The sequence below is a fragment of the Homo sapiens genome, chromosome 3 (assembly GCF_000001405.40).
Source record: "Homo sapiens chromosome 3, GRCh38.p14 Primary Assembly".
NCBI lineage: Eukaryota > Metazoa > Chordata > Mammalia > Primates > Hominidae > Homo > Homo sapiens.
Window position 1 is genome coordinate 88,131,688 of NC_000003.12, and position 27,915 is coordinate 88,159,602.

Here is a 27,915-nt window from a genome sequence, read left to right on the forward strand (position 1 = left end):
AGTCTTTAGCCTTCTTTTTGTCCCTTCCTTCTAAATAGCGTGGGTTATGATGGCCTACCCTCTTATTTCTTCTACCTCTTTTCTATATTTCTGAATGTTAAGGTCCCTTTTCTTCCTATTAAAAGTTAATTTTTACTGTAATTTGATGAGCAGGATTTTTTTTCAGCCTCCAAAGTCTGTGCTGTCTGTTTCATCCTGGCCTAGCCTATGAGTCAGCTTGTCATTTATCTCCCCTCTGTGTGAATAGAACCAGATCCACAGTTTTGCTGTATCCCAAACCAATGGGGCAAGTTGCTAAGCCCCTTTCTCCTTCACAATCATTAATAATAATAATAGCTGCAAATGTTTGCTGAGTGCTTCCTATATTCTTTGCTTTATATATGCACATGTCATTTAACCCAACAAGCTTATGGAAATAATACTGTGTTCAAGCCATTCAATATTGTGTTCAAGCCATTCAGCTAGTAAGTAGTGAAGCCAGGATTCAAACTTAGGCAGTCTTCCAGCCTCTGCTATATTAAAATTACTTAAAATAAATGGGTCAAGTTTGAAAAAAAAAATTCTGTATTGTAAGGGTGACTGACGTCATTATATAGGCTTTTTCCAGAAAGTAGATGACTTAATGGTAATATTAGTAGTTAATAGGGTCTTTTATTAGCTAGTTACCTGGGAAATGCGTTTGTACACTGAATGAGTGCTGTGTTTTCTAATGCACACATTGAATAAAGGAAAACGTGTATAAGCTTCATTAAACCTGCCCTTTTGGTCTTCTAAAAGAAGACTGTCAATGGTTTTCAGGATTTTTTTGTTGTTGGTTTTTGTTTTCCTTCAGAATCCACTGTACAACTAAAACCTCAGATCCCATGTTTTAAATCCAATCAAAATGGAGCTTCATAACACTATCCTAAGATTTCTGCTTTGCCTGCTTTAAAGCAAAAATCCATAGTGGTAGTCTTCTCTTGGCAAACTTATTAGGATATTGCAGTGTACCTATTACAGGCTTTCAACATTTAGGGGAAGTATATGCCAGACACTTCACCTAGGTGTTTCAATTATCTCTCTTAATTCTTTTAATAAAGATGCTGAATAGGAATAATCCCAACCTTTATGTGTAAGAAAACTGTATATAAAATAGATAACAGTCATACAGCTAGTAAGAAATGGAGTTGGAATTTGTACTAGTTAGTTTGCAAGTGATAGCATCTGTGCCTAAATAGGAAAACATTTAGGGTGCAGTATGAGCTACATGAAAGCTACATGGAAGGCCACAGGTAGTTCTCAAAGATAACTGCTACCAGGGACACTGATACTGCTAATGTTTTTCAAAATCTGTTTCTTTTCTGTCATTTGGCTTCAGCCTCTCTTGCTGTAGACCAGCAGGAACATCAACAAACCCCAAGCTTAATAGTTTAGAGTTGAGAACATTCCAGAGATTCTGACTAGCCTGACTGGGATCACTTTCCCGCCCCTGAATTAATATCTGAAGGGGAATGCAGAGGAGGGTCACATAGGAGACATGGCCACTGGTTTTCTACCTTTGTGTTTTAGGGCTTTTCCTAGAAAAGCATGGCTCATTGAATTGGGTGTGCCACTCCAATCACTGTATAATGCTGTATTGAGATTTAGGTCTCTCTTATTTCCAATTCCATGTTCTTGCCACTGCATCCACTAAACAATGTGTCATTGTGTATACTTACAGTATATTAATGGTTGGGGAAATAGGTAGGATCGATAAAATATAACAAGGAAGCATATGATAGGCATGAAATCAGTAAGAGGGATCTTTTCTGAAGTGTAGGTATCACTTTAGTTTGGGGTATTCATGAAGGCTTTCCTGAAGAGATACTTGATAGGGCCTTTGAAAGATAAGTTCATCTTAGGAATGAAGTACTTTCCAAATATAGCAGTCAGCATAAACAAAAGTGAGAATAAATGAAGCAGTTTAGCTGAGAGTTAGGAGTTCCTGAGATTCAAATCCTGAAACTCCTAACTCTACAACCCACATTTCTATTGCTGTTAACTTTATAGCATAAGCACTAAATGAAATATGATCACGGAGGCTGAAAACAGATCAGGTTAGAAACCACTGTAGAAATACATGTGTAAAATTAAAGGGCCTAAAAGGGTAACATTGAGAAAGAATGATAAAGCTGAGAGCAAAAGTATACTTGAAATGTAAAGACACTGCAAGATAAACAGATTAGAACCAGACCAGAATAGAGGAATGTTTAGTGTCACTGCCTGATCTAGGAAAAGATTATCAGTTTTGCAGGAATATGATTAGTTCTGAGTGGGTTCAGGTGATGGAAAGCAATATAAATTGAAACACCCAGGCATGAAAACTGGAAAGCAGTAAAAGCTAGAGATGTGGTAGGAAGGTATGAAACCTTGTGAGAGTTCTAAAAGAGTGTGAGTTAAAAAAAAAAAAGGTGGGGGGTAGTGGACTGAAACTTAATAAATAGCTAGTATGAAATGGAATTGGAATTTTGGTTTTACTACTCATATGTTGCTTGCTGTCATTTTCTGTTTTTGTCTGAGTACACTATGTGCACCCTCATGATGGTAATCAAGCTGTCCTTAGATTTAATACCTGTATGTGCTGAGTTCAAAGTATATGCTCATCACTTTTAAAAAATATTTTCATTAATTATTTTAATACTTTTAGATTATGATGCTTTGTACACTTTTATGACATGTTTTAAAGAATTCTAATTTGCTAAAATGTGACATCCAAATATATCAGCTCTATCATATGATTTGCCTTTGCCTAAAAACCCACCGCTCCTAGCCTTGTGCATCAAATAACAGTGGTCATATTTGAGAAAAGAATCTACCTATGAAATAGTTCAAATGGTCCATAACCTGTCTGTTTTAAAAGTACGATATCTGAAACATACTATTTCAGAATCAATACTATACTTACAGTTTTAATCGTTAGTACTTTTGATATCTTAATAAATTGAAAATGAAAAATATGAACCATTTCTTTATAGAGAGTCTACAACATTGTTTTCTAAATTTACAAGTAAAATATTAATTAAAGGCCAAAGTTTATTATTTTTAAGTAATATCAGTATTGGCACATTAGGATTAGAATTTCTGTTTTGATCTGATACTGGAGACATCTTAGGTATGCCAACATATTGTTGGAATTCATTCCTTACTACTGTATATTTGTGATTTCTGATATTTCTTCCTCTCCCAACTTGTTTTAGTCTCATATAGGTAGAAGAAGTAGTTTGGGGGTGAACGTAATACATATTTACACTCATATACATCCCAGCCAGGGCACTATAGAATCAGGGAAAGATAGCTAATGTCTGTATTTGAATAAACTGTATTTTTGATAATTCTCTTTTTTTCTCATTTACAGGGAGTTGATTTTCATATGGAGTAAACTACAGCTTAAATCTAATCCTTCAAAACAAGTTTTTGTAGATCAATGCTACCAGCTTTTAAGAACAGCAACTAATGTGAGAGTCATATTTCCTTTCATGAAAATCATCAAAGATGAGGTAAATAGGATATATTTGTCCCTTAAATTTAAAATTGAGTGACAGTTCACTGAAACTTGAATCTCTTTTGATAAAATTTATTTGATTTTAAAACTGAAGGAAAGGAGGATTTTAAGGCCACATTCTCCATACATTACATTCTCCTCTGCCCTAACTCCAAACTCTCAACATGGGAGGCTGATTTATTGTTACTTAAAATTTAACATGGAAGCAATTGCTTCCATTACAACCTTTTTTCTTATAATTAAATATTTGTTACTTTCAATATTATCCTAAATCCCATTTATAGAATCTTAACTAATTTGCAAATAAACTTGGTGTATCTATCAATAATACCACTTCACTGTCACAGAGAAACTTAGTTCCAGTTTTAGGTCTGCTGTTTACGTGTAAGGGAACAATGAATTCTGAGGTGTTTTTGAAACTTAAGGACAAAGTTTTTAAATTGTTTATTTGAAGTAATTGTAAAAATGTGTTACCTCTTTCTAAAAATAGTCCTGAGTCAAGTTTTACTTGGGCCACTTGCAAGTGAGTACAATCCTACATGAGTCTTACGTAGACATGAAAGTGGATCCTGCAGATCTTTTAGTTTTTCCCCCAAAATATCAATAAGACTTCGAGTATAAAGAGTAAAGCCACTTTACATTTTAGGTAGCACCATTAAACTGAATCTCTATGTTGGTTACTTTTAAATATATAAGGAGGTATCTATTAAATAATACATTTTAATTTTTTTATGTATTTATGCATTTATTACATTCATTATCACATCACTCATTAGATGTATGATCATGTAGTGATCATATTCCCATGATAATTTCGCTAACTGCATTTATGGTATGCTTATTAAATAGTGAAATATCATTCAAATGCATTCTCAAAGTAAACTCCTTCCAGCAAAAGAGGAAAACTATGTTACAGAACACGTCTTAACATTTGATGTGCATCAGAATCACCTGTAAAACTTAATTTTAAACAATAAAGATGTATCCATATTTTTGTACATATGAATCTTATTGGTACCAAAAATTGAGATATATTATTATAGAAAGTTTACAGTGTGAGGTTTTGCCAGTCATCACAGAGCTTTCTTATTTTCATATGTGGGGTAAACCTGCAAATATATTATAAAAGGAAAATTCAAAGATGAAATAAGAATTAAAAATATGATGCTTAATAGTTTATACTCTACTAAAAAGACTTTTATTTGTTGGAATAAATCATTCAATTGCCTCAGTACTGTGAAGAGTCATAAATACTGTGTGAGTTCAGGAGACATAGATGGCATATCTAAAAAGGGTTCACAGAGGAAATAATTTCAGCTGAGTTTTCAATGACATGAGGGTAGTACTAACATTTGTAGAGAATTTTGTAGTTTACAGAGCACTTTTTCCTCATTTTATTATTTGTTTTTCACAACCATCTGGTGACATTAAAGGGTAGCAGAGAAATATGGGGAAGTGGGTGGGGGATGAGACTAATGGCAGAGACTGTGTGTGTTAGGAGGAGTGGTTGTCGGAGATACTTAAAGGGATTTGAATGCAACAGTTCATTCATTTCATTGAACAAATTGAAAATTCATAAATATCCTGGAACCATCAAAAGATTTCAGGTAAGGAAGCAGCCTGTTCTCTTTTTGGATGATCTTAACATTTTTAAACTTGAGCATCTGTATACATGATAATTTTATGAGCCAAGATAGAGGATGTAGGCTGGGCGCGATGGCTTACACCAGTAATCCCAGTACTTTGGGATGCCGAGGTGGGCAGATCACTTGAGGCCAGAAGTTCAAGACCAGTCTGGCCAACATGGTGAAACCCCATCTCTACTAAAAATACAAAAATTAGCCAAGTGTGGTGGCTCACGCCTGTAGTCCCAGCTACTGGGGAGGCTGAGGCAGGAGAATTGCTTGAACCCGGGAGGCAGAGGTTGCAGTGAGCTGAGATCATGCCATTCTACTCCAGCCTGGGTGACAGTGCGAGACTCTGTCTCAAAAAAAAAAAAAAAAAAAAAAAAGGATGTAGATAGAAGTATGGAGAAAGAAAACGAATTCTGTTTTGAATGAATGGATTTTGATTTGCTGTATCTGAAAAATCTAGGTAGTAAAGTCTAATTATAATTGACATTTAGAAATCAGTAGTTGGAATTCAGAAAGGATTCCAAGTTGTAAATGATGGATTTATAGGAGCAAACTAAGTAAATGGAATAGGTCTGATTTTCACTCATTCTGCAAACATTTATTCAGAGGTTACTATGTACCAACTTTTATGCTAACCATAGGGAGACATAAAAAATGAGACACTGTCACCTGTAATTTAGGAATTCACAGTTGGGGGGTGAGGACATACACATACACAGATATTTATAAAACAAAATTGAAATGTTTTTAAAGATAAGTTATTCTTGGTGGAAAGAATGGGGAATTTTAACTGTACCTCAGGGCAGAGACCAGGATAAGTGGGGAGAAAAACCTTCAGATTAGAACTGATTCTCAAAGAATGAATAGGAGGATCAGTAGGAATTTACTAGCTGGATAAAGTGAAAATCGGATGTGCCAAGTTAAAGTCTGCCTGTGGGAACTGTAAGTAGTTCTTCAGGGTTACACAGCATGTAAAGGACTAAGAAAACGTGAGGCTGGCAAGGTAGTATTCCTCCCTGTAATCTATACTATACCATATGTAGGCAGTATGATATATATACATATATATGATGTTAAAGACATTATTATGGTGTCTCCTCCAATCAAAATAAGCCTTTAGATTATTCCAAACCACTAGAGACACTATTATAACTAAGATGGGTCGACAATAGATTCCCAAGTAAAAGCTGATGCAATTATCCTTGAGTCATCAGTGAATGTTTCAAAGCTTGAGTACTGTTCAGATAACTTCCAGGGGGCTCATTATTCTGAGGCTTATATACCTTATTAGATTTGGAAAGATTATAACTGCCTTCTTTATGTGTGCCACATTTCCCCCCTTATTTGGATAAATAACATTACTTAATAAGCAAAATAAGTAATATTTTTTCATATAGCACTATAATAAAAGTTCCCATAAGCAGTTTTTTTAAGCCTAGTTTATTTCTTGATGTGGAAAATTGATAAATCTGTTAAAATACACATAATTTTGACCCTTCTCTCAAAGAATATGAGATTTGTACCTACAATAATAAATGGGGGTCTAGAAGAAATCTTAATCACCATAAGTTTATGAATCACCATAAGTCCATTTTGTATTATGGATAGTGGGCTTGTCAAATGTGAAAATTAAATAAATTAGAAGCTAAAATGCTATCTATTCCAGATTATTTTCAAGTTTAAGAAAAAGAGAAAGGTATATATTTAAAAGAGTTAAACAAGGCTACTAAATATGGAAAATTGGACATTGGAATACTATGTTTATTCAGCTTTCATTTTAAGAGTTGTGTTTTTTAAAGATAGACTAGTATAACCATTTTTTTGGAAAAAAAGTATTTAGCACTAATATTTTTCTTTTTACAGGTTGAAGAAGAAGGCTTGCAAATTTGTGTTGAAATATGTGGTTGTGCTCTACAACTCGACCTTCATGATGATCCCAAAACTAAATGTCTAATTTATAAAACAATTGCACATTTTTTGCCAAATGATTTGGAGATCCTCAGGATTTGTGCACTCTCAATATTTTTTCTGGAGCGCTCCTTAGAAGCGTATCGTACTGTTGAAGAGCTTTACAAACGTCCAGATGAAGAATATAATGAAGGCACAAGTAGTGTTCAAAATCGTGTTCGTTTTGAATTGCTTCCAATTTTGAAAAAGGGATTGTTTTTTGACCCTGAATTTTGGAACTTCGTAATGATTAAGAAAAACTGTGTAGCATTATTGAGTGATAAATCAGCAGTTAGATTTCTAAATGAAAGCACACTGGAAAATAATGCAGGTAATCTAAAAAGGACGGAGGAACAGCAAGGTTTGGATGAAGGGTTTGACTCTCTTACAGATCAGAGCACTGGAGAGACTGATCCTGATGATGTATCTGGAGTGCAGCCTAAAGGTCATATTAATACGAAGAAAAATCTTACAGCTCTCAGTACTTCCAAAGTAGATCACAATGTCCCAAGGCATCGTTGTATGTTATGTAACAAGGAATTTTTAGGTGGTCACATTGTAAGGCATGCCCAGGCTCATCAGAAAAAAGGCAGTTTTGCATGTGTAATATGTGGTAGGAAATTTAGAAACAGAGGACTTATGCAGAAGCATTTGAAGAATCATGTTAAGAAGATACAGAGGCAGCAAATTGCTGCAGCTCAACAGGATGATCAGGAAGTCACTGCTTTGGAAGAAATAAATTGTTCTAGTTCTTCCATTTCATTTGAAAATGGGAATTCTGATAGTAAGGATTTGGAAGTGGAGACACTTACTGCTTCTAGTGAAGGAAACAAAGAAGTCATCCCTGAGCATGTGGCTGAATTCATTGAAATTCCCATAAGTGTACCAGAAGATGTTATTGAAAATGTTATTGAAAATGGCAGTCCTAATAATTCTTTAAATAATGTTTTCAAGCCTTTAACTGAATGTGGGGATGATTATGAGGAGGAAGAGGATGAAGAAGGTGATTATGAAGAAGATGATTATGACCTGAATCAAGAAACTTCAGTAATTCATAAAATCAATGGAACTGTGTGCCATCCAAAAGACATATATGCCACAGATCAAGAAGGAAACTTTAAGTGTCCTGCTCTTGGTTGTGTCCGGATATTTAAAAGAATTGGGTTTCTAAATAAACATGCAATGACCGTACATCCAACCGATTTAAATGTGCGACAAACAGTAATGAAGTGGAGCAAAGGAAAATGCAAATTTTGTCAAAGGCAATTTGAAGATTCTCAACATTTTATAGACCACCTTAATAGACATAGCTATCCAAATGTGTATTTTTGTTTGCATTTTAATTGCAACGAGTCGTTTAAGCTGCCGTTCCAGCTTGCCCAGCACACAAAAAGTCACAGGATATTTCAGGCTCAGTGTAGTTTTCCAGAATGCCATGAGCTTTTTGAAGATCTTCCTCTGCTGTATGAACATGAAGCTCAACACTATTTAAGTAAAACACCAGAGTCATCTGCACAACCAAGTGAAACAATTCTTTGGGATGTTCAGACAGACTCAAATCCTAATCAGGAAAAAGACTCATCTAGTAATGAGAAACAAACTATTAGTCTGCCAGTTTCTACTAGCAAATCAAGGAAAGAGTCTACAGAACCAAAGACATGTATAGAAAGTATGGAAAAGAAAACAGACAGTTTAGTTCAGAATGGAAACGAACGTTCTGATGACACTGTTTCAAATATAAGCTTGATAGACCAAAAGATGCCTGACATAGAGCCAAATTCTGAAAATAATTGTAGTAGTAGTGATATAGTCAATGGACACAGTGAAATAGAGCAAACACCTTTAGTTTCATCAGATCCTGCTTTGAAAATTGATACAAACAGAATCAGGACAGAAAATGGTTCCATTTTGCCCAGTGTTGTACCACAAGAACACAACACCTTGCCAGTATCTCAGGCACCTTCCAAACCAAATCTGACAAGTGAACATACTTCATATGGCTTAATTTTAACAAAACCATACGTCAGACCATTGCCTCCCAGTTACCTTGATGAACGGTATCTTAGTATGCCAAAACGCAGAAAATTTCTGACTGATAGAGTAGATGCCTGTTCTGATCAAGATAACGTGTATAAAAAATCAGTGAAAAGATTAAGATGTGGCAAATGCCTGACCACCTACTGTAATGCAGAAGCACTTGAGGCTCATCTTGCACAAAAGAAATGTCAGACACTCTTTGGATTTGATTCAGATGATGAAAGTAAGTCTTCTGTCTTCTTAGTAGAGGTATCTGTAGAAAGAGAAAATGGCATAAATAAAACTATTATAGATCTTTGAGATTTAAAAAATTGATATTTGTGTAGCACAGGTAGTGAAGCATTACTCCATACATTATTTCCTTTAATACATACAACCACTATGAGGTGATACTAATATTCCTGTTTTATAGATCAAGCAACTGAAATTCACAAGTAATTTGCATAGGGCTTTGCCTATGAACTTGTGCAAGGCAGAACCTGAACACAGGTTTTTCATATTCTTTGATTATACTTCTTCACTGTATCAAAGGTTATTCTTCATTCCAAGTTTCATATAATAAAAGTTGTAATTTTGATGGGAATTATTTTTCATATGCATTCCAGAATATAAATCAAGTGAATCTGTGTCTCTGTTACAAAAATAGAAGGAGAAAAAGAACAGAAAATAATTGAGAAACAAAATCAGAAAAAGAGCTTGTCTGTCTACTAATATCAATATCCTTTAAAATGACAGGGTATAAATTAAACAGGAATCTGACTTGGAATTCCGGTCGAATGTCAATAAAACTTGCATTAACAGATGTGTTCTGTTTTACAGGTGCCTGATGAAAACGGTTCAGAAAGATCTGTCAATCAAGCAGTAGTGTGAAAAAAGCACTATAAGAAAATGCATCATCAGTTTGCTATTTCCCTGATGGCCTTAATTTTAGAGTGGTCTTGGATTACTAAAGATAAAGACAAAGCACATTTTCTAGAATGAACTCACAGAGATGTGCTGGCTTAGACTCCAAAAGGATTATAAAACTCCCAAAGTACCAGTTTTCCAGAAAACCACATTTTACAGTTTATGATGATTAATAGCAGCAGCATGTTCAGTTTCGCTTATATGAGAAACATGTTTAGGCAACTAGTCAGAAAACCAGCTATGGCCTTACAGAAAGGGAAAAATTAACCCATTATTAAAAAGTGTGTGTGGGGAGGGGGGCTGGTTTACAATATTAAACCATTTAAAGTATTTTATTCTACAAATGGGGTTTGTTTTCTTGTCATGCATAATCAGATTATGTCCCCTCCCTTCTGGTTAAACATGGTTTAAGGAACCGCTGCTGTTTGGTTTGTGATTGATTTAGAAACTTATACATTAACTTACCACAGTGCTATCAATTAAAGATTGTAACAGGTTTCCAGATGATTAATTAGGTCAAAGTTCAATGAATGGCACGCCAGCATTGAAAATTAAAAAACAAAACAAAAAAAACCACAGTGCTTTGCTAATAAGCTCTTGATAGAACCTCCCACTAACCACTTTTGTGGTACAAATTAGTTAACATTTAAAGGGCAGCAGTGTCAATAAAATAGAAAAAAACCGATCAGTACTCTGGGGAGAGATGAAAGGAATCTAAGACTTTACAGGCTTTGTAGTTGAAGGAAAACACTGAATTGCAAATTATTCAATGTGAATAATGGTAAAAGCACACTGGGATACTTCTGTTTGTGTATATGTTGGGACATTGCTTGATGATTCATAGTAAGGTCCTTTAGACATTAATGTGAGTTATCTAAGTACAGTCCTATTAAAATAACTGGCTCAAAAAATCAGCTAAGAATCAGGTTGAGAAATCATTCATTTTATTCTATTAGGAGAGGTAATTCCAAAATAAGCCATACTATTCCTGTTTTTTTAATTCATTAGTGATGACTCTGGTCTGAACAGTAATTTTTATATGTAAAAGGAAGTATTTACACAAAACATTTGCACAAGAACACAGTAAGAGATACATTCAAGCATTGTTTTCCTTAGTGATGTTATTTTCCTAAGAAGATTTTAACTTAATAAAGTGTTAAAACAATAAATATTTTTAAAAATACCCTCTCAGATGTTTTCCATTTGTCCATTATTGAAAGGAAGATGCTTAAAGACTTCCTTTTACTAATAGTGTGTAAATCTAAAACAGGGATTAAAATAACAAAAAGGCAGTGTTTCAAAACAGATCTCCTAATGTCCCAATGTCAAATATTCCAGTTATTCTAAATAATAAAATCTTTGTTCAAGGCAGATAATCTCATCAGACCCTATTAGAGCTTCTTGAATGAGGCTATTACGGAAGTGGGGAATTTCTTCCAGGTAGCATCCATATTTTATTAAATTAGGATTTCCAGATCATGATAGATCAGATGATTTTTTTTTAATTTCCCGGTTTTATTGGTTTATCATCAGCATTCACTACTATGCAATGATGGTCATAAGTCCATTCCAAATTTAAATTTGTTTCTGTTATGTAGCCTATATTAGGCTGTGGAATTTACATTTAGGTAACTAAACACAGCTCATAATTAAAATCTTTTCTTTAAGGTCAGCTAAAAAAAATGTTTCCTGTATTTCTTGATACTAAAAATGTAATGATTTTTATTTTAGTTCATTCTAAAAGTATGTCTTGTAATAAAAAGTCTGTTTGGAAACTGGTTCATTTGGACAGTGAAGTCTTTTGAAATATTTCTGCTTTGTACATTTTCCAGAAGTTTAATATTTTATCACATTTTCCACAAGTTGTAACAATTGATATAAATCCATGCCCACAAAGTATTCCATTTTCATTACTTTTACTGTTCATGCCAAGATGTTTCAAATATATTCCATTTGTAATCTGTCTTTAACTTGAGGTTTATTTCTACTTTTGTGTTGCTAAAATTATTTCTGCAAGACTGAGATCAAACTGGTTTATATATAACTAAATCAAGGAATGTTTTATAAAATTCTATTTGACCACACTGTCTTAACCTCGGTTTATATACTTCTCAAATAGCTATTGAAAGAATGTGTTCATTTTATTACATCTGTCTTTTAAAACATAAACCTACATCATTTTGCTTTTATAGGGTGCATAAACTTCCAACAGTTCTAATTTGAGCGCTTCAGAAGAAAAGGAAGCTTGCTTCTTATTCCTCAGATTCTTCTTTTTTTCTGTTTTGAGGATGTATTCATCCTACATGGACCAAGTTTCAAATCTTTGTTTTTAAATAAAAATTTCCTTCAAAAAATTAAATGTTAAATTTCTGCTGTGTGTCAGTAAGGTGAAGAAAATAGCAAATCTGAATTTTTGCTGCTCAGATATTATGGAGGAGGTAAAAAGGGGAATCTCCGTGGACAAGGACACTGGTACTTTGGGCTTTAGCCATATTCATTTTTTTGAAACCACCAATTATATAATACTTAAATAATTTATATCATTGAACTTGTGATTCTTTTCAAATCACACTGAAGGTTCAGCCGTACTCCTTTCATGTTTGGTTTAATACTGTTGTATGGATGAAAAACCTAAAAGGGATGATAGTGTTTATTTTTTAATTTATTTGGTACTGTAAAACACCTTTTCAGAATGAGTAAATGCTGCATATGCATTTTGGAGTTGTTAATATGTGAAAGATATTACAGATTCAGCAAGAAAGGAAATTTGTGCTTCCTTGTTGAATGTTAAATTATTTTACTTTGCATTTTATAAGAGTACAAATTAAAACTGAGCCATTGAACTGCAATAAATCAACAATAGTGTCTCATTTCAAGAAATTTTTTGTACTGTACATAGATTTGTTCAATAAAACGTCCTTGTTGGTAATCAAGTGTTCAATTTTATGTAGTATATTGCTTTCAAAAGGAATTAGACATATAAGGTATATATTAAATGAAAATGTCTATTATGTCTCATAAAGGAATGGCATATTTCAGTTAGTATATTACCATATTTGGATTGAGTGATTTTTTTAAACATAATATAGAAAATAGAAGTATCTAAAATTTTACACAAAATAGGCATTTTTGGACATTTTAACGAATGCCTATATGGAGGAATAAAAGTTGACAGAATTCTGTTTTTACTAAAGTCACTTCAGGTAAGTGGGTTCAGTGTGATATAGTACGTTCTGCAAACTTAGTAGGTGTCGGAACTCTCCGAAGTCAAGACAGTAGATAAATTTGTCTACACTGGTAATTCTTCAAAAATGAAGAGCTTCTGGTGGAACTTAAAAAAACAAAGACTGAAATCATTTTGAAATATTACAATATAAATGATGATGAAAATTACTTCCTAGGAAAGAATTTCACTGGGGAAATGAAGTCAGTAAGCTGTAACCCAAAATGATGTCTTTGAGCATGAAGGCTCCTACTTTTTTCGTTCACTAACAAAGGAAAACCGTCCAAACTATTAGCTATAACTTGCAATTGGAAAAAATGGGGCTTTAAGTAGGAAAAAAACTTTTGATGTGATGAGACCACACTGCAAATAGATAAATGGGATAAAATGATTTGTGCATGTTACAAGCATTATGCCTTGAAACACTATGAGAGTGTTATTGAAACATTCTAGAGCTGAGATCTAAAATGATCAGTCTGATTTATGGTCATATGATCTTAGACTCAATATATTCCATATTCAAAATAATGAATGTAGTGAGGTATTTGGACAAAGTTATTGGGGTTTAGATAACTTTTCATTTTCCTTTTCTGAAATTTGAAGAATTCTGGGAAGCAACTACTACTAAATAGGCTTCCAAGATAACCAAATTAAGCTGATTTTCATAGCATAATATCTGTACTGATACCAAGAATCAATTGATAAAACAGGGACAGATGTTTTAACTACATCAAGATTTGAAATAGAGTCAATCCACTAATACTTGGAATAAAAATTGTAAATGATAGAAAGTTTCATGCCTTATTGATGGGTACTGCACATTGGGGGGAAGAAATGGCTTGTTTATGTGTGCTGCCTCTAATTGTCACAACTCAAGGGTAAATATGAACACTGCTCTTTAGACACCAAAGCTCAGAAAGGTTAACCTGATTAAAATCATACAGCTAATAAATGCAGAGGGTGACTGAAAAATCAGATGTGTCCTAAAACCATGTTTCCATTGTGCCACACACTTTTCCCTACAAATGTAGACCATGAGTGGATCTAATAATCCACATGGGGTCAGATTTGCCTGAGGATCAGTGATTTCAAAGTCAAAGGATGAAGGCTGGTAGAGATATCTGGTTGATGTAGTGGTATCTTCTAGCAGTGATTCTTAAAGCGTGGTTTATAGAGCAGCAGAATCAGCATCACCTGGAAATTTGTTAGAAATGCTAAATTGTGGTCAGGTTGGAGGCCATCTGGCTTAACAAATCCTCCAGGTGATTCTGATACAAGCTAAGGTTTGAAAATCACAGAACTAAAGCAATAAAGTTCTTTGTATTTCCCTGGAAGATAAACAGTTCCCCCTTAAATTTATAGAACCCTCTCAAAAATTAGTTGCCAAGACATTTAAACAAGTCCCCTATTAATAGCTCCTTAAATGGTTGGGTGAATGGATACTTTAGTAGTAAGATCTAATATCCCAAACCGCTCTAATTGGGAGGGTTTTTTGTTGTTTTTTGCTCAAGTTGTATTCAGTAAATGAAACTACCAGAACAGAATTTGATGGAAACAGTGCAAAAAGGTGTGGGGATCAGTTATACTCAAATTCTAGCATGCTAGTTTTATCGTTGTGGAGAGTTATACATCCCATTGATACAGAATTTTGCTAAATTTCTCTTCATATTAGGTATGGCTCCCATACCCTGTCTTTGGCTCCAGTCATATTTAAACCCCGCACCTACCCTCATCATGTAATTTTAGTTCATGCATTTGTCACTACTATTCCCGTTTTACTGGTTGTTCACCTTTTTGCCTGTCCCATCTCATTCTTTGATTTAATCCTTCCTAAGCATAACCACTTTGTCAGAAAGCCAGATCTCTTGATTACTCCCCCAGCATTCCTCCTCTCAATAAATGGCAACTAGTTGCCCAAACCAAAACCTTGTAATCATCCCTGACTCTATCATGCCCTTCAAGCCACCATTTTCTCTAACCTGGACTATTTTAATAGTCTCCTAACTGGGTTCCCTGCTTCTACCCTTACCCTCCCCTTCAATCTTCACACCAGCAACGAAAGTAATCCTGTTCTGAGACAAGTCAGATAATGCCATTCCTGTTTAAAACCTGCCAGTGCCTTCAAAGCTCATTTATTCAACAAATATTCATTGGATACCTACCATGTGCGGGCCTCTGTAACAGGCAATGAAAGACAAAAATCCTGGCATCACAGAGCTCATATTCTACTGGGGGACAACAAACATACAGTATGTTTTTTGAGTATGAGTGCTATGCAGAAAAATAAAGTGGGTAGCAAATGCATAAATAAGCATGGTGTTGGTGGTGATTTTAAGCAAGATGATGAGGTAAGGCCTCTCTGATAAGGTGACTTTTGAGCAGGAACCTGACTAAAGTATGGGAAACAGCCATTCAGATATCCAAGGGAAGAATATGCCAGGGGCAAGAGCAAAGGCTTTGAGGCAAGAACCTATGGCAAGTTGAAGGAGCAGATGATAAGGGAACCACTGACTAGTCTGGAGAGATTGACAGAATAATAAGGAAGTCAGAGATAAAAAATGAAAGCTAAAGTCCATATAATGGTCTACAAGGTTGTATATCTACACTATCCAAGACAGTAGTCACTAGCCATGTGTGGCTATTAAAATTTAAATTCAAATAAAACATAAAATTCAGTTCCTTAGTTGCACTAAACAGTACAAGAAGCTCAAGAACCACATGTGTCTGATAGTTACTGTATTGGACAGCAAAAAACATTTTCACCATCTCGAAAAGCATCTTGACAGGTTTTACATCCATGGCTCTTAATTGTGGGTGATTTTGCCCTGCAGGGGACATGTAACAATGTCTGGAGGTAATTTTGGTTGGCACAGTGAGGGAAGGAGGTGCTACTGGCACCCAGTGGGTAGAGGATGGGGATGCGTTAAGCATCCCACAATGCACAGGACAATCCCCTCGACAAAAGATTATCCTGCCCAAAATGTCAACAGTTCTATGATTAAGAAACCCTGCGTTAGATCAGTCTTGACTGCAACTCTAACACATTGCTCATTGCCTCCTCCTTGCTCAAACGGGCTCCAGTCTCCTGGACTCCTTCCTCAAAATCTCTACTGTTGCTTCTTCCTACCATGCTTCTCCTGCGGCTCACTCACTTTCTTCTGATCTTCAGTCACTTAAAGAAGCTTTCCTTTCAACCTGTATAAAGTACTAACATCCTCTCCCATCCTTGTCTTCTGGATTTATTTTTTTCCATAGCATCTCCTGGCCGACTATATAGTTTCTTACATGTTTACTGTCTATTTCCTCCCAACAAAATGCAAGCATTGTTTTTTGTCCCCAGTACAAAGAACAATAACTGGCAAGTAGGTGCTCAATTATAATACATTTTTAATGAACGAATGAAATAAGTTGGACATGCCCTCCACGTGGTCCCATACCAACATATTTTAGCACTTATCTTGTCATCTCTTTACTAACAACACTCCCAAAAGCTCCTTGAAGAAAGGTCAGGGTCATGTCGCTGAACCTTCAATAGCTAACATAGCAGGCATTCATTAATACTTAATTTAAAATACGAAGAATTCCTGTGTTGAGTAAATGGTACCCCAATAACATCCACTGACAATTTCACCATATTTTGAATGCTTTAAGGACTACATGTACAATATATGACTGATATTTAGCTATTATTTATTTTTGAGACAGGGTCTCGCTCTGTCACCCAGGTTGGGGTGCAGTGAGTGTGGCGCGATCTCGGCTAACTATAACCTCTGCCTCCAGAGTTCAAGCGATTCTCCTGCCTCAGCCTCCGAGTAGCTGGGATTACAGGCGTCCGCCACCATGCCAGGCTAATTTTTTGTATTTTTAGTGGAGACGGGGCTTCTTTATGTTGGCCGGGCTGGTCTCGAACTCCTGGCCTCTTGTGATCTGCCCGCCTCAGCATCCCGAAGTGCTGAGATTACAGGCGTGAGCCACCGCGCCCGGCCAAGCTATATTTTAAACAAAGTTAAATTTGCTCACCAGGATCTGCAGATGTGTACATTTCAGCTACTAAATGGCAATACCCCAATTAAATGTCAACTGATCAAAAATAGGACTTAAAAATGGAAAAAGGCAAGTGACAATGCATTTAGTCTGATTCCTGTTTAACAGAGCATGACTATTTCTCTCGTAAATGTGTGTTGCTACCATGCCAATAGTAATAACAGCTAAAGTTTAGTAAGAGCTCTTTAGTAAGAGCCCCATGCACTGTTCACCCCGCCCCCACAGCCCCAAGAGGTAGGCATCTCCACTAGATCCACTTCCATTGGAAACTGAAGGGGAAAAGGCTAAGGAGCTTGCTTACAGTCAGGGTAAATGGCGGAGTAAAACCCTGGCAATCTGGCGTCCAGAACCCCCAACCTTAAATTGCGCGCGACATCGCCTCTTCTAAGGCCGAGCCGGCAACGAGGGAAATGGAGGCAAGAGACGGTCCCGGCGTGTTTGAGAGGAAAGTCCGCTGGAAGGCGGCCAGGCACAGTGGATTATCTATTTTTAACTTTTCATACTATAATGTTAAACAAAACTAAATTATTTTAATTTACTTAATTTAAGGAACCAAACTACCGGCTCACCCAACTCAGAAGTGGCCGCAGAAGACATTCAAGCGCTCCCGGGGGCCCGGCCAGCGGGCGGGGAGGAGCCGCCTCCATTGGCCGGCCCCGCGGCATCACGGGAGCTCGCGGTGCGCCCGGGTGGCGGGCTGCTTTCCACGCACCTGCACCTGCGCAGCCCTCCAAGGCGCTCTTTTGGAGGAGGGACTTCTCTTTCGGTAACCAGCTCCCTTGCGGATAGTCTATGTTCTCCATATAAACCCAGCACTTCCCTTAATTGAGATACGTGGGACTTCACTCCGTCCCCAGCCCGGAACCACAAGTGAGGGCACTGCGTTTCCTGATTGACCTCTTTGGCGATTACTTCCGCCCAGGGGCCTGGAATACTGGAGGCCCTTCGACGGAGAACAACAAGAAAGGCACTTCCGGTGTCTGTTGCCAGGCGCGGGCCCAGTGGGCCGTAGGGGCGACATTGTTGCCGTTGTCTTTCCCCCCCAGTCCCGGGGATGGAGATGTCGGGACTCAGCTTTTCAGAGATGGAGGGCTGCCGTAACCTACTTGGCCTACTGGACAACGACGAGATCATGGCCCTATGCGACACTGTCACCAACCGCCTGGTGCAGCCTCAGGACCGCCAAGGTAAGGGCGGACCCTTCACCTAGAAGGCTGCCGCCCCTTCCCCGGCCTCACGCCTACCCCGCTTAGGCAGAATCCTCGGGAATGTTGGCCGCAGCCGCAGATCCACAGCTCTGGAACCACTACGCCGACTTGGGCTGCCGGGTCAAGGCGGGGAGGTGGTGGCGGTGATAATGGCACGGCTTCCAGGTTTTATCCATTGAATATTATGGGCAGCGCTTGTTGATTCAAGGATTCGGAATAAGTCATTTAAATTTTTAAAAATTTTAAAAAATTTTCTGGGGAGCCAGAATGTTTTGCATTTTCAGTTTCGATCAGCTGAAGAGTCAGCTGCTGCTCGGGCTTTTTTCTTCAAGTTTGAGTGGGAGGAGGATGGCAAACATTTTGTATGTCTCTGGTAAAAAGCAACTACTGTAATTAAATGGCAGGCACCTTGAATCCATGTCTCCTTTTGGAGGCAAAATTTTTCTGAGATGATTTTCGTACTAGGAATACACACAAGCGAGCTAAATACATATACCGGTGGATTTTTAAGGGGTATTAGTGCTAAGTCTGATTGTGACTAGTCCATATAAAAATGTAAAGCGTTTGTTCATTTTGTGTGTCGGGTAGCTAGTTTTATTTTAAATTTGCTGAATTTTACTTCAAAACGTGAAAAATTCCAGATTCCCATATTAGTATATGATTATCTTTAAAAGATTCTGCCCTTATAAAACTGGGTTTTTCTGCTTAAGTCGGATTTCATTTTTGGCATTGAAGAAAGTCATTTGTCACTCCGAACCATGGACACTAAAAGAGGAAGTTCCAAAGAATTAAGACCGAAAATAGCTTTAGACTTATATGGTTCTTCAGCGTTTATTTTACATGGCTTTCACCTTCTTATAATCATGGTGAGTGTGAATTTAAAATTATAATGGATAAAATGCTGCATTTAATTATAGGGTATCTAAAAGCAAATAAGAAAAAAATTCCCAGTTCAAAAACGTTTAAATGACTTGAAGAAACATTCCTGGGGCAGGGGGTGGGGAATCACCCTTAAGCATATGAAAGTATACTCAGCATCTTTGGAAACTAATGAAATGAAAACCAGAAACAGAAGTTGTCTTTTCTGTGTACCAGATTGGAAAAAATATATATATATATATAAACTATAAACTTCAAGTGTTCATGATCAGGTGAAGCAACTCGTTGACAACTAGTGAAGGAGTTTAAGTTAAAACTGCCACTTTGAAAAAACAAATTTGACATCTCCTAAAATGGCAGATTAGACACATACTCGAGACCTAGTCTTCTCAAACTTGAATATGCTTTTGAATCTCTCAGGGATCTTGTTAAAATGCAGGTTCTGACTCATTAGTTTTAGGGGAGGCCCAGAAATTCTGCTTCTAACAAGCTCCAGGTTGATGCTCATACTGCTTGCCCCTTTTTGAGCACTGGGAGATGTGTATGAGAATGTTCAAAGTAACAGCGTTTGTAATTGGACGCAGAATAGAAGTCTGTAAACAGAAGAATAGTTGGATACCTTGTGTGCAGTCATATAACTAATTATGATATAGCAGTGAAAATGAGTTAGCTATGTATATCAAATTAATCCAGAAAATATTGAATGAAAAGCTGATTACAGAAAACTATATACTGTATATGGATGGATTGAATTTATAGCACAATTTAAAACATACCAAACTAAATATAGTTCAGGGATACATACTTATGCTGTACAACTATAAAAGAAGGGAAATTTTAAAGCAACATTTAGGATAGTAGCTACTCTGAGGTGGATGCGAATAAAGAGGAATAGCATTAGGGAAGAGACGAAATGGGGGCCTCAAAGATAGTAATTTCTTATGTCCTAAGCTAGGGGGTATGCATATGGGAGTTCGTTTTATTGCCATTCTGTATGACTCACACATGTCAGAAATATTCTTTGGTCTTGTATTTTAAAATACAAGTGGGCCAGGTGTGGTGGCTCACGCCTGTAATCCCAGCACTTTGGGAGGCCGAGGCAAGCGGATCATCTGAGGTCAGGAGTTCAAGACCAGCCTGGCCAACATGGTGAAACCCCGTCTCTACTAAAAATAGAAAAATTAGCTGGGTGTGGTGGCACACACCTGTAACCCCTTGGGAGACTGAGGGAGGAGAATCCCTTGAACCCAGGAGGTGGAGGTTGCAGTCAGCTGAGATCGCGCCACTGCACTCCAGCCTGGGTGACAGAGTGAGACTCTGTCTCAAAAGAATAAAAATTAAAATATATAAAGATACAAGCCCTGGTTCTGCCACTTTCTAGAAATACAATAGTTGGGCCGGGCTTGGTGACTCACACCTGTAATCCCAGCACTTTGGGAGGCCGAGGCGGGCGGATCATGAGGTCAGGAGATCGAGACCATCCTGGCTAACACGGTGAAACCCTGTCTGTACTAAAAAAATTAGCTGGGCGTCGTGGCAGGCGCCTGTAGTCCCAGCTACCTGGGAGGCTGAGGCAGGAGAATGGCGTGAACCTGGGAGGCGGAGCTTGCAGTAATCCCAGATCGCACCCCTGTGCTCCAGCCTGGGCGACAGAGCAAGACTCCGTCTCAAAAAAAAAAAAAAAAAAGAAATACAATCATTGATACCTAATATGGCCTCAACTTTCATTATCTGTAGAGTGAGGAGATATGACTAAAATTCCTTGACATCTAAAATATTGTTGTAATTGTCCCTATTTTTAGAGGTTGTGCATGAATTTAGGACTGTTGGCCTTATTAGAAAAAATATTTTTTCTCACTTAAATGTTTTCTTAAAATGTAATTCTTTAAGAGGAAATGCTAAACTTTCACTATCACTTATGGGAAGTGAACAGAAGAGATTTTAGGTAAGGGAAGTTTAAGGCATAAAGATGTTAAAAGAAAACTGACAACGGACTTCCTATTTTTTAAAAATGATGACTATCATGTAACAGCAATAATGCTGTGACGAGAGTTTATAAACATATTTGATAGAGTTTCTGCCCACCTGGCACAAATTTGTAAGTGCCTCATGATTTTTTATTAATCTTTGCAATTTCTTTCTAGATGCTGTTCATGCAATATTAGCATACAGTCAAAGTGCAGAAGAACTTCTGAGGCGTAGAAAAGTCCACCGAGAAGTTATATTTAAGTACTTGGCAACACAGGGGATTGTTATACCTCCAGCTACTGAAAAACACAATCTTATTCAGCATGCAAAAGATTACTGGCAAAAGCAACCACAACTGAAATTGAAGGAAACGCCAGAGCCAGTTACAAAGACAGAGGACATCCACCTATTTCAACAGGTAAAATAAATCTTATGGTTGTATTCTGAACCTTTGTTCTGTCTGAAACTTTGTTGATAATCCTAGATTGTGGGGAACATGGTTAATAATGTTTGTGGGGTTTTTTTATTTTTATTTTTTAAGAGATTCTTGCTCTGTTGCCCAGGCTGGAGTGCAGTGGTGTAATCATAGCTCACTGCAGCCTTGAACTTCTGGACTCAAGTGTTCTGCCCACCTCTGTCTCCTGAGTAGCTAGGGCTACAGGCATGCACCACCATGCCTGGCTAATTTTTAAAATTTTTTGGTAGGGATAGGGTCCCAACTATGTTGCCCAGGCTGGTCTTGAACTCCTGACCTCAAGTGGTCCTCCCGCCTCAGCTGGAATTACAGGCATGAGCCACCATGCCCAGCCTATTTTTTTTATATTTTATAATTTTAACTTTATTTCATATCCTATCAATCCTGAAGGAAGGAAGAGACCAGTAAAGCAACTAAGAGCAAAAATATTTCTGACATATAGTGATGCATATATAATCATCTATTGATATGTGAGAAAGTATTTTTCAATATCAGCATCATCAAATGAGGACTATTGGATTTTTAGAGAGTAAACTGCAAGGTTAATTTTAACTTTAGCTCCGTGTAATTTTTTTTCACTTTAGAAGAATTTTATTGCAAATTCTTTCTCACTTTTAAGACGTTTTTGGTATTGCAAAAATGTCATGAAAGGAACTTAAAATTTTACTTTAAAAAAAATTTTCTTTTAAGTTCCAGGGTACGTGTGCAGGTTTGTTAGATAGGTAAACATGTGCCATGGTGGTTTGCTGCGCCTATCAACCTATCACCTAGGTATGAAGCCCAGCATGCGTTAGCTATTTTTCTTGATGCCCCCGCCCCCACATTGGAACCTAAATATTTTTTATACTTTTTTTTTTTTAACTAGAAAAAGTCCTATTGTAGAAATATTCTCCAGCGGACATTGGCTGTTTCTGTTCTTTATATTATCTCCACTGTACATTTTAGATACTGCACAAATATTTAAGTGTTGCTTGAATTAACCTCTATGTAATTTGCAGATTTTTAAACTACATACCACATTTTTTGAATTAATGAGGTTTCACAGTGAGAAAGCTTTGCCTTCACACTAGGAAAGAATCTTTAAGAGCTTTCTTACTTTATGTACTGATAAGAGCATTGACTTTGAAATCATACAAATACGACTTCAAATTAGGGTCTGCAATATACTAGGTGTGTTAAATTAGGCAAATAACCAGTGCCACGCACAGTGCCCAGTGTATTAAATAGCAGGTGCTCAGTAAACCTAAGATCTCATACATCTCAGTAAAGTACTGTGTTGTGGAACACATGGATGAATGAGATCTAGTGTATCAGGTAGATTTTTACAGTAACTTTTTTTTTTTTTTTTTGAGACAAAGTCTGCCCTGTCACCCAGGCTGGAGTACAGTTGGCATGATCTCAGCTCACTGCAGCCTCCACCCTCTGGGTTCAAGCACTTCTCCTGCCTCAGCCTCCCAAGTAGCTGGAATTACAGGCATGCGCCACTACACTCAGCTAATTTTTGTGTTTTTAGTAGAGACGGGGTTTCACCATGTTGTCAAGACTGGTCTTGAACTCCTAACCTCAAGTGATCTGCCTGCCTCAGCCTCCCAAAGTGCCGGGATTACAGGCATGAACCACCACGCCCAGCTTACAGTAACATTTTCTGTGAAAAAAGAGAAATAATAGAATAAAATTAATCCCAGTTATAGAAAATAACCTGTTTCAATCACCGTAAGAGTATCTATTTAAAGACAATGAAAATGCTTGCTTATATTAACTTTATGTCATTTATATGCAAAATGCATCCATTTAAAGTGAACGTTTTGAAGGTTTTCACATATATACCTGTGATATACATATATACCTGTGAAAACACTGCCACAATCTGAGGAAACACTTACATAAATCATCATATAATTTATATATTTTTATATATGACTGTTCATACTGATTTTTTTTTTTTTTTCACACGGAGTCTCGCTCTGTTGCGCGGGCTGGAGTGCAGTGATGCTATCTTGGCTCACTGCAACCTCCACCTCCCAAGTTCAAGTGATTCTCCTGCCTCAGCCTCCTGAGTAGCTGGGAATACAGGTACACGCCACCATGCCCGGCTAATTTTTGTATTTTTAGTAGAGACGGGGTTTCACTATATTGGCCAGGCTGGTCTCAAACTCCTGACCTCACCATCCGCCTGCCTCCTCCTCCCAAAGTGCTGGGATTACAGGCGTGAGCCACCACGCCCGCCAAGTTCATACTGATTTTTAAATTGGCCTTACTAAACCTTACTCTCTTAGCTGAATTTTCAGCAATTTAAGCTGGAAATTTCTAAAATGATTTTTCTCCTCTTGAAAAAAGATTTTTACTATGCATAATGGGTTCAGCAAGTTCACATATGGTTCATTTCTCTCTGGTGTAATGGGTTCATTCAAACTTAATAGGCTAGATAGAAAAATAGATATGAAAGTTAAACCTTAGTGTTATTTTGTATTTATTTTATTTGTTTCAATCAGCAGGTGAAAGAAGATAAAAAAGCTGAAAAAGTTGATTTTCGTCGCCTAGGAGAAGAATTCTGTCATTGGTTCTTTGGACTTCTTAATTCTCAGAATCCTTTTCTAGGACCACCTCAAGATGAATGGGGACCACAGCACTTCTGGCATGATGTGAAGCTTAGGTTTTATTACAACACATCAGAACAAAATGTTATGGACTACCATGGAGCAGAAATCGTGAGCCTTCGTTTGCTGTCACTAGTAAAAGAAGAATTTCTTTTTCTCAGCCCCAACCTAGATTCACATGGACTGAAATGTGCATCTTCTCCTCATGGGCTGGTTATGGTTGGAGTTGCTGGGACTGTCCATCGAGGAAACACTTGTTTGGGCATTTTTGAACAAATTTTTGGACTCATCCGCTGCCCTTTTGTGGAGAATACTTGGAAAATCAAATTTATCAACCTGAAAATTATGGGAGAGAGTTCCCTTGCTCCTGGAACATTACCGAAACCATCTGTTAAATTTGAACAAAGTGATCTAGAGGCCTTTTATAATGTAATCACTGTATGTGGTACCAATGAAGTACGACATAATGTAAAGCAGGCTTCGGATAGTGGAACTGGGGACCAAGTTTGAGGTAGTGGAAATGAGACATTGCTGAACAAAAGAGAACTGGGTTTACCTGACCCTCTAAAGCGCTAAGTACTGTCAGCCTGAAAAAAATCTTCTATACAGAAACTCTTCCAAATACTATATCAGTAATGTCTGAATGATTTCAGATGTGAAAATTGACATATTTTAGTTGAAATACCTTTCTGGACTACAGACTTACATATCATGTGAATACTTACCTATTTCTACCCGAGTTGCAGCAAGTATTCTGAAAGCTTAATGCAAATAAATCCCACTTTAGATCTTACAGCTAACTGTGTGCCTTAGAAACCAGGTAATATTTTCCTTTTACTTAGTGAATATTCTGCTAATATCTGCACTTTTCATGTGGGAAAGGATTAATAATGGTCCAGGCTTCCCCTCTTTAAGTTTCATGTTTACTTTTGTCTAACTCTGGATAATTGTATTTTACAAATGCATCTCACTGTAGTATATTTTTAAAACTATTAAATATTTTAGAGATGTTTAACGTAAACTCAAAGTTCTCATTTTAGAAAATTTAAATAACATTCTTTTTGCAAAAAAGTCCAATAATTTAACAGTTGAAGAAAAACTTACTACCTCTTTAAAGATTTGAGAAACATTTTTCAAAGTTATCAGCTGTAGTCCAAGCTAAATATCTTTTGTAATCTGCAACATTTTCCTTACTGTTTTTGGGCAGTGATAAATGCTGTTCTCGAAATAGACTTTATTCTTACCTAGGCTTCAGACAACAGTTTTATAGAGCAGTTACTGTAATACAATATAAAGGAAATATGCTGTTGAAATTTTAAAGGTATGCCCAGTTCCTAACTTTTAAACGAATTACCGTTCTTCCTCTTGGCTGATCTTGGCAGAGATGACAAAAAAAACCCCAAAACAACCCATGCATGTATAATGTGTGTATACACATATACATAAGTATACATATACTCCCACATTATAACTTAGAATATTTAGTTTTTTACCTGTTACTAGGTTTGAGTTACATGGTTGAGTTGCCAAATTATTTACATGCTTTGTTTAAATTCTTCATCACCTAGCAACTGTTTGCTGATCATGGATTTACTTAGTTACTTTAATTTATAAAATTACCATTTGGAAAAGAACTCAATTGGGAAATGTGATGACGTATTGTACATGTTACTTTTTCCTTTGCTATAATCATCTAGGGAGACTGATAAGAATTTTGGAAATGGGAGCCTGGAAACTCATCTTTGTTTTTTTAATGCTATGCCTCTTACGAGGAATACGAATTGGTATGTCCTAAAATAAGAACTTAATAAAGGAGGGAAATCCCTTTTGTCTGCTATAAGAATAGTGTATCGTTCAGATTTAATTTATAGTTGTGTTGCTCTTAGAGTTTTAGGCATTTAACGAGAACAAAGAAAATTTTATAACTGCTAGTTACACTGTTATTGTAATATAATTAAGTATAAAGAAAATAGTGTGCAAAATAATTTCCTCTCATATTTTTATAAAGGTACACAATCAGGTCACAAGTCCATCTTTATCCATCCTATACCTCTGCTTGAGTTTTGAAAACTGGGTTACCTTTTATTTCTTAGTTTGAAGTTTGAAATATCATTATAAAGTGTAATAGGTAAACATCCTAAGTAAAGGATAAAATTAAAAACCATTCTTGTTACTAGAGATACTCAAAAAGGGCAGGGATTTCCTCTAGGTACCTTTAGTATTAAACTTTTGAGTTCGTGTAAAGCACAAATAAGGCTGCAATTTCTGCACATAGTTTTGAATCAACCTTAAAAATGTAAAATCTTTTTGATAGTCTTGAGATTCTTGAGGATTAATGCTATTTTATTTCATGTTTATTTCATGAATCCCTAGATATGGGCACACTACAGCCTAATATTGGAGTGAATGCATTAACGAATGAGCAAAAACAACTTATATACTGTGTACAAAAGGCTTTTCCGCTTCTAGAGTTTATCTTTGGTTCTTCTCATCAGTGTTACTTTTTCAGTCACATAGTTTCTTTGAATTTCATACTTGAATACGCAGAAACTTTTAGGCCCCCAAAATAACTCAGATTTGTGAGGAGAAAGATACTGACTTTAAAAGCCCAGGATCAGTAAGAGACCCTGAGATTCCTGAGGCTACCTGGAAAACATTACAGGGGAAGTGTATGAAGAAACAGTATTTGGAGGAGAAAGACCTAGAGGAACTGAAGTCTGTTAGTGAAGCTTGAAGCTTGATCAGCCTTTTGTGAGAACAGCCAAAAAGCACAGTGCCAGGATTGAACTCTACTTGTGCAGGATTGAACCCCATTAGTCTTTTTATGCCAGGGAATGGTGGAGAAAGAAACCAGCTGTAGTTCTCTGTTTTGATATACCCAACCGGTATTTGGAAAGTCTGGAGTCAGTTGTAAAGAAGAATACATTACAGATAATTCATCATAATTGGGTGGTCAAACTGGGGAGACCATCTGGACCTTTACTTTCTGTAGGCTAATTTGCCATAGCCTAATAACAGGGCATACATAGTAAATATCCTTTTTTGTTAAAATTTTTTAAAAATTGTAATAGTTATGTTAGGATACTTTGTTAGAATCTAGAATGTGAAATAACGTACTTCATGTGTCTTCTTACCAAAAATACCAACGATAAGGGGAAAAGCCATCTTTAATTTATTAAATCAACTTGAAAATGGCAAACAAGATAGCAGATCAGGAAATGTTCCTGGGTTTTCAGAAAGGTAACATACTAAAAGAAGGTTAGTTACCTAGTACCAACAAGAAATTGTAATAGTGGGCTGGGCGCGGTGGCTCACGCCTGTAATCCCAGCACTTTGGGAGGCCGAGGCGGCGGATCACCAGTTCAGGAGATCAAGACCATCCTGGCTAACACGGTGAAACCCTGTCTCTACTAAAAATACAAAAAATTAGCCAGGCGTGGTGGTGGGCACCTGTAGCTGTGGCAGGCGCCTGTAGTC

General features: G+C 36.8%; 3 protein-coding genes across 15 annotated transcripts in view, besides 5 other annotated features; 2 read left to right on the plus strand and 1 right to left on the minus strand.

Moving 5' to 3' along the window:
- The window catches only part of ZNF654 (zinc finger protein 654), an 85,406-nt gene extending 72,433 nt beyond the window's left edge, over window positions 1–12,973 (plus strand). For 8 of the 12 annotated variants that reach the window (NM_001366097.1, NM_001350134.2, NM_001350137.2 and 5 more), the window contains 3 exons: window positions 3,374–3,515; window positions 7,018–9,361; window positions 9,958–12,973. In NM_001366097.1, the coding sequence (NP_001353026.1) occupies window positions 3,374–3,515; window positions 7,018–9,361; window positions 9,958–9,965 (2,494 nt within the window). In that variant the 3' untranslated portion in view covers window positions 9,966–12,973. Of the gene's footprint in view, window positions 1–3,373; window positions 3,516–7,017 lie in introns of all 12 variants that reach the window. The other 4 variants (XM_017006789.3, XM_017006791.3, XM_047448514.1 and 1 more) reach the window with 1 other exon arrangement.
- The window catches only part of CGGBP1 (CGG triplet repeat binding protein 1), a 97,921-nt gene extending 79,738 nt beyond the window's left edge, over window positions 1–18,183 (minus strand). Inside the window, exons 1-2 of the mRNA NM_001195308.2 lie at window positions 18,024–18,183; window positions 9,283–9,391 (exon numbers count right to left, since the gene is read on the minus strand). The gene's annotated coding sequence lies outside the window, so the exon portion shown is untranslated. The remainder of the gene's footprint in view (window positions 1–9,282; window positions 9,392–18,023) is intronic.
- Window positions 17,204–17,781: an enhancer, noted in NCBI's record as "H3K27ac-H3K4me1 hESC enhancer chr3:88198041-88198618 (GRCh37/hg19 assembly coordinates)". NCBI's record gives its function as "activates a minimal SCP1, AML or CMV promoter by ChIP-STARR-seq in naive H9 embryonic stem cells {active_cell/tissue: H9 hESC(naive)}" and the evidence as "EXISTENCE:reporter gene assay evidence [ECO:0000049][PMID:30033119]".
- Window positions 17,204–17,867: a biological region, named in NCBI's record as "H3K27ac-H3K4me1 hESC enhancer GRCh37_chr3:88198041-88198618".
- Window positions 17,678–17,867: an enhancer, noted in NCBI's record as "active region_20116". NCBI's record gives its function as "activates an Ori minimal core promoter by ATAC-STARR-seq in GM12878 lymphoblastoid cells {active_cell/tissue: GM12878}" and the evidence as "EXISTENCE:reporter gene assay evidence [ECO:0000049][PMID:35858748]".
- Window positions 17,868–17,967: a silencer, noted in NCBI's record as "silent region_14548". NCBI's record gives its function as "represses an Ori minimal core promoter by ATAC-STARR-seq in GM12878 lymphoblastoid cells {active_cell/tissue: GM12878}" and the evidence as "EXISTENCE:reporter gene assay evidence [ECO:0000049][PMID:35858748]".
- Window positions 18,078–18,127: an enhancer, noted in NCBI's record as "active region_20117". NCBI's record gives its function as "activates an Ori minimal core promoter by ATAC-STARR-seq in GM12878 lymphoblastoid cells {active_cell/tissue: GM12878}" and the evidence as "EXISTENCE:reporter gene assay evidence [ECO:0000049][PMID:35858748]".
- C3orf38 (chromosome 3 open reading frame 38) lies at window positions 18,272–26,278 on the plus strand. 2 transcript variants are annotated; one of them, NM_173824.4, is made up of 3 exons: window positions 18,272–18,498; window positions 21,543–21,784; window positions 24,334–26,278. In NM_173824.4, exons 1-3 carry the CDS (start codon window positions 18,366–18,368, stop codon window positions 24,946–24,948), a joined length of 990 nt encoding a protein of 329 aa, NP_776185.2. In that variant the 5' UTR covers window positions 18,272–18,365; the 3' UTR covers window positions 24,949–26,278. The 2 variants fall into 2 exon arrangements, with proteins under 2 accessions (NP_776185.2, XP_005264802.1); XM_005264745.6 differs by having other exon boundaries at window positions 24,337–26,278.
- The last annotated feature ends 1,637 nt before the right edge of the window (window positions 26,279–27,915 follow it).

Coding starts and splice junctions, on each gene's coding strand:
- C3orf38 (NM_173824.4), top strand. CDS start 18,366: ATGGAGATGTCGGGACTCAGCTTTTCAGAGATGGAGGGCTGCCGTAAC. Junction 18,499..21,542: donor GCAGCCTCAGGACCGCCAAG/GTAAGGGCGGAC, acceptor ATTTCTTTCTAG/ATGCTGTTCATGCAATATTA. Junction 21,785..24,333: donor ACATCCACCTATTTCAACAG/GTAAAATAAATC, acceptor TGTTTCAATCAG/CAGGTGAAAGAAGATAAAAA.